This window comes from Homo sapiens, chromosome 2 (genome assembly GCF_000001405.40).
Source record: "Homo sapiens chromosome 2, GRCh38.p14 Primary Assembly".
Taxonomy (NCBI): Eukaryota; Metazoa; Chordata; class Mammalia; order Primates; family Hominidae; genus Homo; species Homo sapiens.
The window spans coordinates 99,449,723-99,467,869 of NC_000002.12; the positions used below are offsets into that span (position 1 = coordinate 99,449,723).

Sequence of the window (18,147 nt, forward strand, 5' to 3'; positions counted from 1 at the left end):
ACAAAAACATCTAAGAAGTGCCTAGCAGAGCAAATAGGGACCTCAAGTAATGAATCAAATACTAATAACAGTACAAATATTTTTACATTTTTTACTATACTTAGCATATGACCTTGATATTGTGTTTTTAAAAATTAACAACTATAAACCCATTTATGAATCATTTTACAAAGACTAATCCTTCCACTCCTCCAGAGTATACAAGAGGAGTCAGATAAATAATAGTTACTCATATTTACTAAAAAGGAGACTTACTGTAGGGCTTATTAGTAGATTTTACTTCTAGAAAGCTTTATAATTTTTATTTTTATTTAAGAAAATATCTTAAAACTTAATCAAATAGTAAATATTATCCAGTTCCCTAATATGAAATTTCATTAAGGCCAAAAAATAAAGTCCAGCAAAACAAAAAAGACTGCAAACCAAGAAACACCAATTTTTTTCAATTTTGTTTCAAATGATTTATTCTTAATAAAACTACAGAAAATATCTTATATGTCTTAAATATTGGAAATATTTTAAGAAAATATCTTAAAGACACAATGTGACTTATGCTTCCCCCTAAGAAGAAATGTCTGATTCACTAAAGTCATATTATGGCCTGCATTACTAGCATCACATTAATCATCACTGTTCTCTTTCTTTCACCTATCATCCTAATGAATGCTCTAACTCACACCTCCCCTAACAACAGCTGTACCCAGGGGGAGTTTCCACATGTGGCTTATCGCAAGCTTAATCCCAAGCAATATAGGTCCAAGTATTTAAATAAACATTTTCATTATGACAATAATTAGGTGAGCTTTAGTTTCTAGAAGATAAAAAACTAACAGCACATACAGACATACCAGGTTTGTCTAAATTTTACAGCACAAAATTTGACATTACTGATTACAAATATTAGCACTATTCAGTAGAAAATATTATGCAAGCCACATAAATAAAAATTTTCTAGTAACCTTATTAAAAACAGTAAAAAGGTGAAATTAATTTTATTTAACCCAATATATCCAAAATATTATTTCAACATGTAATCAACAGAAAAAATCTGAGATATTTACTTTCTTTTTTCTTCTTAAATCTCTGGAATCCAGTGGGTATTTTACATTTACAACGCATCTCAATTTAGAATAGCCATATTTCAAGTGCTTAACACATGTTACTAGCAGCTACCAAACTGGGCAGTGTCATACAAAGAGATTTAAAAGCATCCTTTTAAACAAAATGAATTCAAAATTAATAATGGAAGTTTTCAGGGTTAAGGTTAAGTTAAAAACTGAACTACAGCATCAGAGTGATTTAATGTGAAACAGTAGAAATTAAACAGCTAGCCAGTCAGGAATCTACAGTTCAGTTTCTTTCTCTAACACTAAAGAACCTGGCTGATCTTATAGAATAACAGTGAGAAGTATCAAATTAAAGGCTACATTACAATGCATTAATATGGGCACCAAATCCAATGAAATCACAGAAATCTAAAAAATTAATTTGCAAGTTAATCTGTAACTTTCCTAAACTAATTCTATTTAATGACTTAAATAGAAAACGGCTGTCCTTTACCGAATAAAAAGACACGTCAAGAACACATTAACTTTCCATATACATACTCATAAAGTACTCACCCGTCTACTAGCTGCTCTTTGAAAACTAATTACTCCAGAAATTTGGAACTGGAAAATACATTGCCCTTCTACTGGATGAAGTTAAGAGGGCTCTTTGAAGTTCACTTCTGAAAGCTCTTACATATTCTTCAGTGTGAAGTGAAGCATGAAAACCAATCTAGTTAAAAGGCAAGATCACATAAACTATGGAATAAGACCGATCTGAGTTTAATCTTAGCTTTCACACTCCTGAGTTGTGTGACTTTGGAGAAGTTGTTTAACTTCTTTAGGCTTTCTCCTCTTTCTCCATAAACAAAGCTGTTACAATGAAATTAGTCTGGCATGTAGAGGTCACTCAATATGAAAACTGCTATTATTATAAACTATGATCACACTAGAACTCCTTTCGAGTAATGTATATGACCTCAGGATCCTGCCCTAGACTCTACGAAAAAAAAAATGACAGAAGACAATATACATAGGCTGACACATGGTGACCCAAAGTTTCAACAAAAACAGACCTGCCAATAGTGCACTATGGACAGCAGCCAGGGACCACTTTGTCAGGTCCAACAGGCTGGCATGCTAACTGTTGGCATGCATGGTCGCTGGAAGCTACCCTATTTTGAATTTTTTTTTTTTAATTTTTACAGCAGTATTCCTCTCTGGTTCTATTTCTTCAATACTAGAACATACTCCCTTATTACAAGTCCAAAAGAACATACACGATAACTGCAGATTTGCATAATAAATTCATTTTTGTATTTAACACTCTCCTTTAATTCAGCAGATGTGGGGTTAATTAGAAAAAAAATTGGGAGCCAAGCACAGTGGCTCACACCTGTAATTCCAGCACTTTGGGAAGCCAAGGTGGGCAGATTGCTTGAGCTCAGGAATTCAAGACCAGCCTGGACAACAAAGTGAGACCCTGTCTCTACAAAATATGGAAAAAAATTAACCAGGTGTGGTGGTGTGTGCCTGCAGTCCCAGCTACTAGGGAGTCTGAAGTGGATACCTTGAGCCAGAGAGGCAGAGTTTGTAGTAAGCTGAGGTTGCACCACTGCACTCCAGCCTGGTTGACAGAGCCAGAGCCTGTCTAAAAAAAAAAAAAAAGGAAAAGAAAAAAAAAGGGGGAGATAATATCCAACATCATGAAAGCTATATGACATTAAACATTGTGTGACACACTGCCTACAGAACCCATCTCTGCAATGTACTGTAACAGTTAACTTTCTCCATAGCACTGATAATCTGAAATTACCATGTCTGTTTGTTTACTTGTTTACTGTCAGATTCCCCCCTGGAACATATGCTCTTTGAAGGCAGGAACCTTGTCTGTCAAGCACTTTCATATCCCTGACATAAAGCAGGTGCTCAGTGAGTATTTGCTAAATTCATTAACATCCTCAATGCATCCCAGACTCCTGCCTAGAATCCACCCTCCAGCAAAAGTGGAGTACAAGTGGTATAAATACTTAAAATCTCAAAACACTTATTCACTCACTCACAAATTAGAGACGCCATATAATGTATTAAGAGGACAGACTCCAAAGCAGGAATGACTAAGGTCAAATCCTGGCTCCATCATTTGCTAGTTACTTGGATTTCAGGCAAGTTATTTAACTTCTCAGAACCTCAGTTTCCTCACATGTAAACTGGGGATAATAATAGTGTCTCAAAGGACTTCTGTGGGAATTAAGAGCTAAAAATTATAAATTACTGAGAAAAGTAACTTGCATATAGTAAAAATTATGTGGCCAGGTGCAGTGGCTCACACCTGTAATCCCAGCACTCTGGGAGGCCAAGGGGGAGGGATCACGAGATCAAGAGATCGAGACCATCCTGGCCAACATGGTGAAACCCCGTCTCTACTAAAAATACAAAAATTAGCTGGGCATGGTGGCACGTGCCTGTAGTCCCAGCTACTCAGGAGGCTGAGGCAGCAGAATCGCTTGAACCCAGGAGGTAGAGGTTGCAATGAGCTGAGATTGTGCCACTGCACTCCAGCCTGGCAACAGAGCAAGACTGTCTCAAAAAAAAAAAAAAGAATTATGTGTCAGCTCTTAACAATATTATCAGTATTATTTTTACCATTTCTTACCCCAAACCGGGAAGCAAGAAGGAGCTCTAGAGCTAAAGCTGCTCTCTATTCACACAAAACATTAAATTTTGCAATTCATAATCCCTCCTACAAATCCTTCTCTTGTTGCCCACCCTTCAGTATATACTCCTTCAAGAATGTCCTTGATGTACTAGCAAAGAATAAACAGAAAATAAAAAATCAAAACAGGCCAGGTATGGCGGCTCACACCTATAATCCTAACACTGTGGGAGGCCAAGGCAGGCGGATCACAAGGTCAGGAGTTCGAGACCAGCCTGGCCAACATGATGAAACCCCGTCCCTACTAAAAATACAAAAATCAGCTGGGCATGGTAACACGCGCCTGTAGTCCCAGCTACTCAGGAGGCTGAGGCAGGAGAATCCCTTGAACCTGGGAGGCGGAGGTTACAGTGAGCCAAGATCACGCCACTGCACTCCAGCCTGGGTGACAGAGTAAGGCTCTGTCTCAAAAAAAAAAAAAAAAAAAAAAAATCAAAATAAAACAAAACTAGATTCAGGGAAATTCTATCCTCCAAATTTTTACAATCAATGTCACTGTTTTGAAATGTCAGAGTGAGTGCTTTTCTCCTCATTGTTCTTTGCCTTTTTATTTTTTATTTAGAGACAGGGTCTGGCTCTGTCACCCAGGCTAGACTGCAATGGCTCTATCATAGCTCACTGTAACCTCAACCTCCTGGTTCATGCTTGTAATTTGAAAGATTTGGGAGGCTGAGGCAGGAGGATCATTTGAGGCCATGAGTTTGAGACCAACCTAGGCAACACAGCAAGATCCGTCTTTTAAAAAAAATCCACAAAAAAACAAAAACAAAAACAAACAGAAAAGGCTGGGCACGGTGGGTCACACCTGTAATCCCAGCACTTTGGTAGGCCACAGCGGGTGGATCCTCTGAGGTCAGGAGTTCAAGACCAAGTCTGACCAACATGGAGAAACCCCGTCACTACTAAAAATACAAAATTATCTGGATGTGGTGGCATGCGCCTGTAACTCCAGCTACTTGGGAGGCTGAGGCAGGAGAACCACTGGAACCCAGGTGGCAGAGGTTGCAGTGAGCCAAGATCCCGCCATTGCACTCCAGCCTGGGCAACAAGAGTGAAACTCCAGCTCAAAAAAAAAAAAAAAAAAAAAAAAAAAAAAAAAAAAAAAAACCCAAAAATTACGTGTGGTGGCACACACCTCTAGTCCCAGCTACTCAGGAGGCTGAGGCAGGAAGATCCGTTGAGCTCAGGAGTTTGGGGCTGCAGTGAGCTATGATCAGTCTACTGCACTCTAGCCTGGGCAACAGAGCTTATCTTAAATAAACAAATAAATAAAATTCCACAATACTCCTACTATTAGTTTTATTTTGCAGAACATTCTATATGCAACTAAATTTGAGGTTTAACTAAAACCAGACATAGTGACAGACAATTGAAAGCACAGTAAAAGTAAAAGCCATATACAAGGACCACAATTTAGCCCACGTTTAGACCTAAAGCCCTACAAGTAAAATGTCACAAGAGCAAATGCCACCATATAACATCAAAACAGCCATATGAAGACCACTTTCACGTCTGTAGGCCCAGCTTATAGAAAGTTTTGCTCATCTGGTTAAAACAAATTCTATAAACAAAATTTTTAAATCTTGCACAAAAGCTTTCCTAGCTAGATCTCTATTGAGAAAACATTTACTATATGCACCATTTCCTCCTGCATATCCAAAGAACTTAATTAATTGTTGACTGTGCTATATAAATCACAGAAAGAAGTGAGGTGAATGGCTGCTTATACCTCCTTTGCTCCTACCATGGCAACATCTTCATTATTTCATTTGAGTTTCACAATCTTATGAATTAGAAAAGATAACTTATTGATGAGGCAACAGAGAAAACTTACTGTGCATACCCTTCTGTCTTTGGACTCCTGTCCCTCAGTTTCTGCAGCAGCAATACTACTCTCTTGACTCTTCTCACCCCTAACTACCTCAGACTTACCAACAGAGTCACCACAATCAACTAAAAGCCACGGATACACTCAACCAAACAAAAACTGAAGAAAAGTTTCAAATGCTTAGGGAACAAATTTTTGAGTACCAACTAGGTGCAAATTTCACATCAGGTACTAGCAAAATTACAGGAGGTGGCATAAATTAATATGGTAAGTCTTCTATGTCAGAGGTTCAATTCCTCCATCTCTTATCTACAAGATGAGAGTCTCACAGGAAATGGAAGGAGAGATATTATATATCCATACAAAATAATATCTGGGAGGCATTTATTTCCAAAAAATTAGACTTGTCAACACTAAAGAGAATCCTCTCCTAAAACACCACATTTGTATGTTTAGAAAACATCAATGTAAGCTGTCAGCTTTCAAACAAATCCTTATTTGAAATATAAGTCTGTTACACTTGCATATTCCCCCTTGTTTCATTTTGTGAATTGTGCTAAAGTACTTGTCCGGGCCCCCCTCCACCTGCTTTTTCACAAACTTCAGCAGTGCCAAAATCAAAAGACCTGGTCTTTTACCCATGTACTAAAGGAAGTAGAAAATAACCTGAACACCTCTTTCCATATGAACTGTCCCAATCTCACACCACTAAAGTGCAACCACTGTCCACTAAGTCTGAAGCACTCACTCCCCCTGGGCAGCTTTCACAAAAATAAACATGCCCAGAGCCTACCTCCCAGATTACAATGCAGGCCTCAAATGTGGCCCATTCCTTAAGACTGAGTTGATTTAGCATCTGAGTGAAAATATTTTAACATTCTGATGTACAAATACAAAACCTGTTATTTATTTATTCATTCAACTAATACTTATTGAGTATCTACAATGTGCCAGGCAAGGTTCTAGGCACTGGAGATATGGCAATGAACAAGACTCAAGTCTGTGCCCCGTGATAGCACTTGTATTCCACTGAGGAGACAAAAATAAGTCATGCAAGTAATACCATTTTAGGTGCAAATAAATGAAGAGGAAGGTGGATAAGGGGTTAGAGAGCGACTGGAGGGCAAAGTACACCTGTTTTAGATAGGTGAAGTCAGGGAAGGTCTCCGTAAAAAGGTAACATTTGAGCAGAGATCTGAATGATGAAGACCTGAGGAAGCAGAAGGAACTGCAAATTTAAGGCCCTGAGGTGTTATCTCTAATCCATGTTTGGCAAGGGATTACTATACATAAAACAGGCTTCCTAACGCCAAAGAACTTAATATAGAATTAAGACCTAACAACACAAGACAAAATCCAGGTGTCAAAATAAATGTTTCTAGCAATAATGCTATGAATTATATATCTCTCTATATAAAATACTACTACTATGGACTGGCTTAGACAGGGAAGGAGGCAAAACCTAACTATATCTGGATCTTAATGAATGAATATACTTCCAGTTCACAGAAGTGAGGAGGGAAGGAGTTTTTCCTCAGAGGCAAAAGAACAAACAGAAACACAGAACTGTAAAAGTAAAAAGACAAATCTAGAATATCAGGGTAATCTTGTTGAGCAAAATTTAAGAACATGAGGTTGAAAATGTAGGTCAGAATTAGGACTAGAATGTCTTTCTCCATTTTCATTTGGAAAATGCCTATTTATCTAAGACCAAGCTAAACATTTCGATTCCTTTATGAAGTATTCACTCCCACTCCCAAAGGCAATTGTTTCCTCTTCTGTGTTGGCACTCACCCTCCTCTGTTGATGTCTAAGGCTTAGAGATTACTTTTTCATCACAAAATCCACATTCTCCATCAACTGCTATCTCTTTTCAAACATAGTTCCTAACCCACAAGCAGCATCCAAAATATATCTGTTCAATCAACTAAAGAAAAATAAAATGGGATATAAGGTCTGTAAACTAGAAAACTCAACATAGTAAAGATGTCAATTCTCCCCGAACTGATCTACAGGTTTAATGTAATTCCTATCAAAATCCCAGCAAGGTATTTTGTGGATAAATGACTTATTTTAACATTTATATAGGTCAGGTGCACTGGCTCACACCTGTAATCCCAGCACTCTGGGAGGCCGAGGCAGGCAAATCACCTGAGGTCAGGAGTTCGAGACCAGCCTGGCCAACATGGCGAAACCCCATCTCTACTAAAAACACACAAAAAATGAGCTGGGCATCATGGCATGTGCCTGTAATCCCAGCTACTCGGGTAGCTGAGGTACAAGAATCGCTTGAGCCAGGGAGGCAGAGGGTGCGGTAAGCTGAGATCATACCACTGTACTCCAGCCTGGGTGACAAAGTGAGACCCTGTCTCAAGAAAAAAAAAAAAAAGAGAGAGAGAGGCGTAGGTCCTAGAATAGCCAGAATTATCTTGACAAAGAAGAAACAAGTGAAAGCAATCACTCTACCTGATATCAAGGCTTACCACATAGGTACAGTATTTGATATAGTGTGGTACTGGTGAAGGAACAGACACAAACATCAATGGAAGAGAACAGAGAACCCAGAAACAGATCCACCAAAATATGCCTAACTGACTGTGTTGCAACAACTGGAAATCCACAAATAAAAAAAAAAAATTGTAAAACCTCAAAATGAAACATTAACTTCAATGTAAAACATAAAACTATAAAATCTAAAAATATAGAAGAAAACATTTGGGATCTAGCACCAAAGTGACAAGTTCTTAGACTTGCAAGCACAATCCATAAAAGGAAAGATCAACATATCAGATCTCATCAAAATTAAAAACGTTCTGCAAAAGACCATTTCAAGAGGATGAAAAACTACAGACTGGGAGAAAATACCTGCAAACCACTTTTATGACAAAGCAGTAGTCTCTAGAATATATAATGAAATATCAAAACTAAACAGTAAAAAATACTAAATCCAATTAGAAAATGAGGAAAAAAATATGAACAAATGTTTCACCAATGATGATGTAAAGATAAGAAATAAACACATGAAAGAATGTTCAACATTATTAGCCACGAGGCAAATGCAAATTAAAATCACAAAGAGATACAACACCATCTATTAAAATGGATAAAATGAAAACCACTGAATGCTGGCAAGGATGCAAAGAAAGTTGATCCCTCATACAAGGCTAGTGGGAGTATAAAATACTACAACCACTTTGGGTAACAGTTTGGCAGTTTCTTACAAAAACTAAAGATGTAACTATTACGGGAACCAACAACTGTACTCTTCTTATACTCATACAAAAACTCATACACAAATGTTCATAGCCTACCAAGAAATAACTGTGATGTCCCTAACAGATGAAAGGTTAACAAACTGGTACATCCACACTATGAAATATAACTGAACAATAAAAAGGCAACAATTTTGATGACCTGACAGATAATTTATGCTCAGTGAAAAAAGCCAGCCCCAAAAGGTTATATGCTGTATGTTTTATTTATATAACATTCTTGAAATGACAAAATTATAAAAATGGAGACCAGATTAGTGGTTGCCAGGAGTTAAGGAAAGGCGGAGAACAGAAGTGGGTGTGACTATGAAAGAGTAACATGAAAGATCTTTGTAGTGTGGAGGCCGGGCGCGGTGGCTCACACCTGTAATCCCAGCACTTTGGGAGGCCAAGGTGGGCAGATCACGAGGTCAGGAGATCAAGACCATACTGGCTAACACGGTGAAACCCCGTCTCTACTAAAAATACAAAAAATTAGCCAGGCGTGGTGGTGGCCACCTGTAGTCCCAGCTACTCGGGAGGCTGAGGCAGGAGAATGGTGTGAACCCGGGAGGCAGAGCTTGCAGTGAGCCGAGATCGCGCCACTGCACTCCAGCCTGGGTGACAGAGTGAGACTCTGTCTCAAAAAAAAAAAAAGAAAGATCTTTGTAGTGTGGAAATGTTCTGTATATTAACTGTATCAGTATCAATTTCCCAGTTGTGACACTGTTTGCAAGTTTATTACATATTACCATTTGGGGAAACTGGGTAAAGGGTTCACAGTATCACTATGTGCTATGTCTTACAACTGCATGTGAATCTACAATTATCTAAAAAAAAATTAATTTAAAAAATGGATAGGCCAGCCATGGTGGCCCATACATGTAATCTCCACACTTTGGGAGGCTGAGGCAGAAGAATCGCTTGAGCCTAGGAGTTTCAGATCAGCCTGGGAAACACAGCAAGACCTTGTCTCTACAAAAAATTAAAAAATCAGCTGGACATGGTGGTACACACTTGAGGTCCTAGCTACTTGGGAGCCTGAGGAGAGAGGATGGCTTGAACCTGGGATGTTGAAGCTGCAGTGAGCCGTGATAGTGCCACTGCACTACAGCCTGGGTGACAGAGGGAGACCCTATCTCAAAACAAAGAAACAAACAAAACAAACAAAAAGGATAGAAGGCAAAGAAGTCAATCTTAACAAGCAAAAAACATTTTTGGGGCCAGGTGAAGGGAAGAATAGGTTGACAGGTGAACTATTAGAGGGTCTTCCCTCCAAGTTCAAGTTCAATGTTAACTGGGTTGGAAGGTATAGGGACTACGAAATCATGAGAGGCTCAAATGGCTGAACTGGGAGCTTTAAAGGAATCAAGAACACTTGGATTATTACAGTTTGTGGGGAGCATGGTTAAGAATCAACAAGAAGGGACACCACAGCTTCTTTTACAGTGAAAACTGCATCTCCCAGGTTTGCAAACTGTTCACTGGAATGAAGTCTCTTTCCTCCAAATTCCTTTTCAGAGAACTTTCTATTTTCTTTTTTTCACTCTATCGCCAGGCTGGAGTGCAGTGGCGCAATCTCGGCTCACTTCAACCTCCGCCTCCCGGGTTCAAGTGATTCTCCTGCCTCAGCCTCCCGAGTAGCTGGGACTACAGGCGCACGTCACCACGCCCAGCTAATTTTTGTATTTTTAGTAGAGACAGGGTTTCACCATGTTGGCCAGGATGGTCTCGATCTCTTGACCTTGTGATCTGCCCGCCTCGGCCTCCCAAAGTGCTGGGATTGCAGGCGTGAGCCACCGTGCCTGGCCTGAAAACTTTCTTTCACAATAGCAATGAGCAAAACTGACAAAGTCTGCACCTTTGGTGCTTACATGCTAATGGAGAAGAAAGATGATACCAAAATATATATATAGGCATTTTACAAAATAGCTGACCAGTACTCCTCAAGACTGTGAAATAAAGCTTATTTTTTTAAATCAAAAACAAAATAGCACCTCCTACTTGTCTTATTACATCTAAAGAGTTATTTTTACTTGCTAATTGTTAATGCTGTTTTATCTATAAAGTGGTAAAGTATTCACTAAAACTTAATTTTTCTAAAAATAAAGTTATTTTACAGCACCACAGTTTGGATATCTCGGTGAAATTCAGCATAATGGAACTTTATTTGTACAGTTATAATGAAATCTTAATAACAAGAGCAAAAATATTATCATCTCTATCCTGCAGAAAAGGATAGAGATAATAACAGATCTAAACAGAAAATGTTTTACAGTCACACAAAAATTAGTGATAAAAGCAGATTTAGAATTCCAGATTCTCAATCAAAAAGTGATTACTGCAATATTCATTTTTCTTCCCTCACACAAAGAATCTCTTTTTCTTCCTCCTATGTGAATAAGGGTGCTCTCTTGAACTGGAGACTTCCATGACTGGCTAATGTAAGAAGCAATGCCTGTTTTCATTAACGTTTTAATTTTTCATAGAGCATCTCAGGAAGTCCACAGAGCTTGAATTTGTCAGGATACCTTCCTACACAGAAAAGTTACAAGCTTTCTGCATGTGAACTTCCCAATGCTGCACCAGCATTTATTTTGAGATGACATTCTTGGACTAAATTCATCATCAATGATGCCTAATAAAACACTTAATTACAAGCAACACACTCTTCTCTTACTAAACCAGATAAATGTACCAGTTAATTAATACTTAACTCCAATTCAACAAATATGTCCTGAATGATTGTGTCCAGTCACTGTAGAGGCACTAAGGATATAGTGATGAAAATGTAGCTCCAGCTCTTGTCCAGTAAACAGACAACTATGGAAAGGTCTGAAGAATTCTAAGATGCAGATTCATTCAGGGAGCCATAGCTCCAGAAGAGCACAAGAAGTCACCTAAATCAGTATGAAGACAGTCAAACTATCAAGGGAAAGCGAGGCATGGAGACCTGAAAGATAGCAGGTATCAGCCAGCTGAGAAGGGGACAGGGGAATATGTAACAGACTGACACAAATATTTACAGCCATTCACTTCAAAAAATACAATGAAATGATAAGAAGAAGAATCCCCAAGAAAATAGAGAAAAATTTAGGCAGAAAACCTGGTAACTAACAGGCAAGTGCTAACTGACTTTACAGTTCAGCGAAAGATAAAACTGAAGCTGGCCATATGGAAGCTTGGAAAGAAGCTGCTTGTTACCAGTAAAACAAAGAGAAAGTCATGAAATAAACACACAGGCACCTTCAAAAGTGGATGTGTGGATAAATTCATCCTTGAAACTGTGCAACAGGCAAAGAAGCATTTGCACATTTCTTTCCTTTCACCAAGAATAAAGACTACACTACCCCTTCCAGATACCGGACTCAATGACAATAGGCACAGCTGGTGGGGAGGAGGTAGGAATGAGAAAATGAATAGAGAGACTAAGTGAAATTTTACTTCCTAAACTGTGAGAATTCAGGTCCTTTCCTTCCCTGCTTGGCGACCCAAATGCTGGCAGTTTACACTCTTCTACAGACAAGAGAGTAAAAGATTCTTCTCTAGGAAATCTGACACTGACACACACCCACACACCACCCCACCCTAAAGGACCTATGGACAATGACATCTAGAGATTTACCAATGAAATGGACCTACAGTGAAGCTCACAGTTTACAAGTCCTACTACCCATGTGTGGTAATTTCCCGTTTTTCATTTTAAACCTCACGTGACTTTTTGAAACTATGTACTTTGATAAAAGTTAAAGACAATGGCAGGTAAAAGCAACATGGAAAGGAAAAAGAAGTATCTAAGCAGATGATTTATTTCTTCTCATCTTACAATCATTTGTCTATAATAAATGAGTAAAAATAGAATTTTAAAACAAATCATTCTCAATCCTAATAAAAATACATGCCAAAATAGGGTTAAGTAAAAAGTACTCAACCTGTGTATCCATTAACATAGATGGCAACTCCACTAAAAATTGTAGATGAAGTCCCATCCTTCTGCATAGCAGCATCTGATCGAAACTGTTCCTCCAATTTCTGGACCTTGGCAGCCATATACCCACCCTAGAATTAAAGAAAAGGTAAACCAATCACAAAGGTTACATTTTCTCCCCCCTTTTTTGAAAAAAAAAAATTTTAAAAACTAAATAAATAAATGGACCTTATTCTGTGCTAGTGACCAGAACATAATGATGACCTCATAAACATAAACCATAAGGCAAGGCAATAAATAAAACAGGAAAGTTGGGCCGGGCGCAGTGGCTCACACCTGTAATCCCAGCACTTTGGGAAGCTGAGGCAGGCGGATCACCTGAGATCAGGAGTTTGAGACCAGCTTGGCCAACATGGTGAAACCCCGTCTCTACTAAAAATACAAAAATTAGCCGGGTGCAGTGCCAAGTGCCTGTAATCCCAGCTACTCGGGAGGCTGAGGCAGGAGAATTGCCTGAACCCAGGAGGTGGAGGTTGCAGTGAGGTGAGATGGCGCCACTGCACTCCAGCCTGGGTGACAGAGCAAGACTCCATCTCAAAAAAAAATTATAATAAATAAATATAAATACATAAAACACATAGGTCAAAGAAGAATTTTCCCTCTATCAACTCAAGTTTTAATTTTATTACATTCTTATGATTATAAAAGTTACTTTTAAAAAAAGCTAAGTCAATAATAATAATACTGGCTGGGCACAGTGGCTCACACCTGTGATCCCAGCATTTTGGGAGGCTGAGGTGGGCAGATCACCTGAGGTCAGGAGTTCGAGATCAGCCTGACCAACATGGTGAAACCTCGTCTCTACTAAAAATACAAAATCAGCTGGGTGTGGTGGTGCATGCCTGTAATCCCAGTTACTCAGGAGGCTGAGGCAGGAGAATCGCTTGAACCCAGAAGGTGGAGGTTGCAAACGAGCTGAGATCGTGCTATTGCACCCCAGCCTGGACAACAAGAGCAAAACTGCATATCAAAACATAGTAATAATATCACAAAATATTGTTCTTATGTACACAATTGAGCAAGCTACACCAAAGTTTAAACCAATTACAAATTTGACAAGTGGTCTCAGAGCATATTTTATTTTATTTTTTTGACAGGGTCTTGCTGTTGTCGCCCAGGCTGGAGTGCAGTGGCACGATCTCAGCTCACTGCAAACTCCGCCTCCCAGGTTCAAGCAATTCTCCTGCCTCAGTTCCCAAGTAGCTGGGATTATAGGTGCTCACCACTATGCCCAGCTAATTTTTGTATTTTTAATAGAGACGGGATTTCACCATGTTGGCCAGGATGGTTTCCAACTCCTGACCTCAGGTGATCCACCTGCCTGAGCCTCCCAAAGTGCTGGGATTACAGGTGTGAGCCACCACGCCCAACCTCAGAGCATATTTTAGACTGGCTTCCACTATCTCCCACATACAGAGGGCTTAAAATGAATTATTTCAGGTAAAAATGAGGCAACTGGATAAACCAGTGTAGTCCTCCCTACACATGGGAAAGAATACAATGAATGCTCCAGTGGCTAAATTCTGGATCTAATCAATCTATTTGATAGTAATATTAACTTTCATTAGATAACATTCACCTCACAATAAATATTAAAAAATAATTTTTTTTGCTAAACATCTTGACAGATCTAGGGATTCAACTATACTTTTCCTGAACTTTGATATAATTAAGCTTGATTTCAATTATTAGGTCTTTAAATTAAAGGTGTAGGTGGCTAGAAGTACATGATGTTTTTTTCCCAAAATGGAAATGACTGCATTATTTTTGCTGATTATTAAAATATTATATGCTCACTATGAAGTTTCTTTTCAGAAAATACAGGAAATATGGGGAAGAAAATTAAAACTGGTATAATCCTATTCATTAAAACTTTGGGGTGTTGTTTTCAAAGCTTATTTCCATAACTCAGAGCACAGAGGTTTTACAAACATATAATCATACAAAATATTTCTTTGTAACACATTGTTTTAGTCAAGGTTATCCTTCCAGGTTGAGATATATAAAGCTGAATAATGACTGTACAGTGCTCCACTATACACAGATAACTTATTTGACCAATCCCTTATTATTGGATATTTATGTGTTTTCCTGTTTTTCTGTATTATTAGCAATGCTGCAATAAAATCATCATATAGTAAATTATTGTGCACTAGGCATATTTATTTCCTCAGGGTAAAATTCCTGAGAGTAAAGTTTAGGGGATAAAGTTTATAAACATCATAAGGCTTTCAATACACTGTGAAAACTCAAAGATGTGGTGTCTAAAGTAATTTACAATTTAGAAAACAACTTAAACCACATTATAACAGAAGAATGAAAAATAACTAGACAGTTCGATATAATTATTTTTACTCTTTTAAAACACACCCATGTTTCCCAGCCATCATTTTCAGCTCGCTTCCTCCATCCACCTCGCCTCATGGTGGAGCTTCTGTATTGGGGAGGAAAAAAAAAATGTCAATTTTATAACATAATGTATTTCTAAATGATATTTTATTTCAATATCAAGAAAATGAGAAATTAAATTCAAATGTCCAACTGATGAAAGTATACAATATTAAGTAAACTTTTTCTGAAGTTCTCCATTCTCCAGCTTTACAAGTGAAATTTGTCTATAAAACACCCTCCTACACATGTTTAAATTGTAACTCTTATATTTAAAATTCAATAGAAAAATATCTTTATGCATTCCTGAGCACCAATCCTAACATTCACTTACATAAAACACCAAATCCAACTAACATGGCCATGCTTACTTTACTTGTTACCATTATATAAGACAATCTAACAAAACATTTCCCTTCATGAGTTGTCCTATAGTGTGGCTTTTAAACTCTGTCTTTGCTATTACATACTGGACACTTAAGAGTTCAGTCATAGCCTGATTCACATATTCTGCCAAAGCCCTAGAAGAAGTCAATTAAAAATGATGCAGAAAAGATTATCATTGATAATAAACTATAATAGTAAATCTGTCATTCTCCTTAAGGCAACACTTACTTAACTAACTATACTATAAAACCACCAGGATGACCAAATGATGGCTCACATTAAGTGGCAGCTGGCTCAGTGGCTAGCAAAATATATAATTCATAAAAAGAGGCTAAATGAAACCCCTTGTAAAGTCAAAGCCTTTTAACACAAACAGCTACATTTTGGGCTATGACTACATTTATTCTTAACAAAATTAATATGACTTCTATTAAGATAATTTTCTTCTAGTAACTATATACATGTGTATCAAATGGTTACCATATGAAGCCTTATATATTATCCACGTCAAATCAGCTCTGATATGATCTATGAGAATTTTTTACTTAACAACACCTTAAACCATGACACTTTACCCCACACACATTAGCAGATAATTTCTTTCTTTCTTTTTATTTATTTATTATTTTTTTTGAGACGGAGTCTCGCTCTGTTGCCCAGGCTGGAGTGCAGTGGCGCAATCTCGGCTCACTGCAAGCTCCGCCTCCCGGGTTCACACCATTCTCCTGCCTCAGACTCCCGAGTAGCTGGGACTACAGGTGCCCGCCACCACGCCCGATTATTATTTTTCTTTTTTTTGTATTTTTAGTAGAGACGGCGTTTCACCATGTGAGCCAGGATGGTCTCCATCTCCTGACCTCGTGATCCGCCGGCCTCTGCCTCCCAAAGTGCTGGGATTACAGGCGTAAGCCACCGTGCCCGGCCTCTTTTTTTTGAGACAAAGTCTTGCTCTGTCACCCAGGCTGAAGTGCAGTGGCACGATCTCGGCTCACAACCACCTCCGCCTCCCGGGTTCAAGTGATTCTCCTGCCTCAGCCTCCTGAGTAGCTGGGATTACAGGCACCTGCCACCATGCCTGGCTATTTTTGTATTTTTAGTAGAGATGGGGTTTCACCATGTTGGCCAGGCTGGTCTTGAACCTCTGACCTCAGGTGATCTGCCCGCCTATGCCTCCCAAAGTGCTAGGATTACAGGCATGAGCCACCATGCCTGGCCAGCAGATATTTTCTTATGAATATTTTTATTCTTAGTATACTGCAGGATTTGGTTTTTGTTTGTTGACATTTATAACAATTTGAATTTTTACTGTCACCCTTAAAAGATGCCTAAAAGACATGCAGAAGTGTTGTCAAAAGGTTAAGTCCCAACAGAGAGACAAGATAATACAAACGTTTTAGGGGCATGTGCAAGGTGCTCCGAGAAAAGGTGGTAAACTGATTAACCCTGAGGAGAGATTTCTTTTTTAAGTCTGATGAAGGCAGGAGGAGCATGAATACCCAATGTGCTCATTATCAAGTCCCAGAAGTACCACATGCTCTGTTAAATATTTCTCCTGTTTTCAAGAGGCTCATTTTGTCCAGTCCCAACAGACTTCAGCCCTTAAAGGAAATCTGGGAGATACATTAACACACAGCACTGGACTACATGTAAACTGAATCCATACACCTGCTGGAACAAGTAAAGAGTTTGGGAGTTCTGGCCATTATACACTAAAAACACATACCCCGATAATTAAAGGCAGCTATTAAACTGTTAAATAAAGGTAAATAAAGGAGTAAAGTGTATTTTAATACATTTGGTGGCCCAATCATTTAAGAGATCCAGTTGTGTAACGTCTGTTGTATACCTACTGCACAAGGCCAATAAGAAAATTCCTTAATGATGGTTTAATGAGGCTAGAAGCATGAAACACAGTTATAATACAAAAACAAAAATTAAAAAAAAAAACAGCTATTAAGGGTTCTTTCCCCCAACTCCAAAGTAACAAAACTATTCCAGACAAATGTTTAAAACTTTAAAAGGAAAAGGAAAGAATGAAGGACTGAAAATTTTAGCTTCGTCATTTCCAATAACTTGACTCATGAACAACAAACTCCTATTGATCCAGAAATCAAACAATCAAAAATTACTAGCCAACATTCCAAAGAGGACAAAAATCTTCAGAGATCTGCCACCCCACCTCTCTTCCCCAAACCAGATTATTTTTCCCTCTGAGAACATTTGGCAATCCTAGAAGAGTGGCTGGGAGACTGGGCAAAGTTTCTGACAAACAGTGCTAGGAGAGAAAAAGTAGAGTCCAAGGGTCTTCCAAGGATAAAGATTGCCGCAATTGCTATCAGAACCCTATGAGTAACAAGAAATTGGAAGTAGACAGACCAAACTTTGCAGAAACTGTATTCATTATTTCAATCTCTGAAAACAGATTAAGGTGATCGTGGGCCAGGCGTGGTGGCTCACCCCTGTAATCCCAGCACTTTGGGAGGCCGAGGTGGGTGGATCACCTGAAGTCAGGAGTTGGAGACCAGTCTGGCCAACATGGTGAA

The 18,147-nt window shown here is 38.6% G+C and overlaps 1 protein-coding gene across 25 annotated transcripts in view; it reads right to left on the reverse strand.

Moving 5' to 3' along the window:
* Positions 1-18,147, reverse strand: part of REV1 (REV1 DNA directed polymerase) — an 89,726-nt gene that overhangs the window by 49,246 nt on the left and 22,333 nt on the right. For 22 of the 25 annotated variants that reach the window (NR_135651.2, NR_135653.2, NR_135652.2 and 19 more), the window contains exons 2-3: positions 15,200-15,263; positions 12,774-12,900 (exon numbers count right to left, since the gene is read on the reverse strand). Coding sequence is in view for 15 of the 25 variants with exons in the window: in XM_047444717.1 (XP_047300673.1) it covers positions 12,774-12,900; positions 15,200-15,263 (191 nt within the window). In the remaining 10 variants the exon portion in view is untranslated. Of the gene's footprint in view, positions 1-1,622; positions 1,780-12,773; positions 12,901-15,199; positions 15,264-18,147 lie in introns of those variants that run through there. The other 3 variants (NR_135650.2, NM_001321455.2, XM_047444724.1) reach the window with 2 other exon arrangements.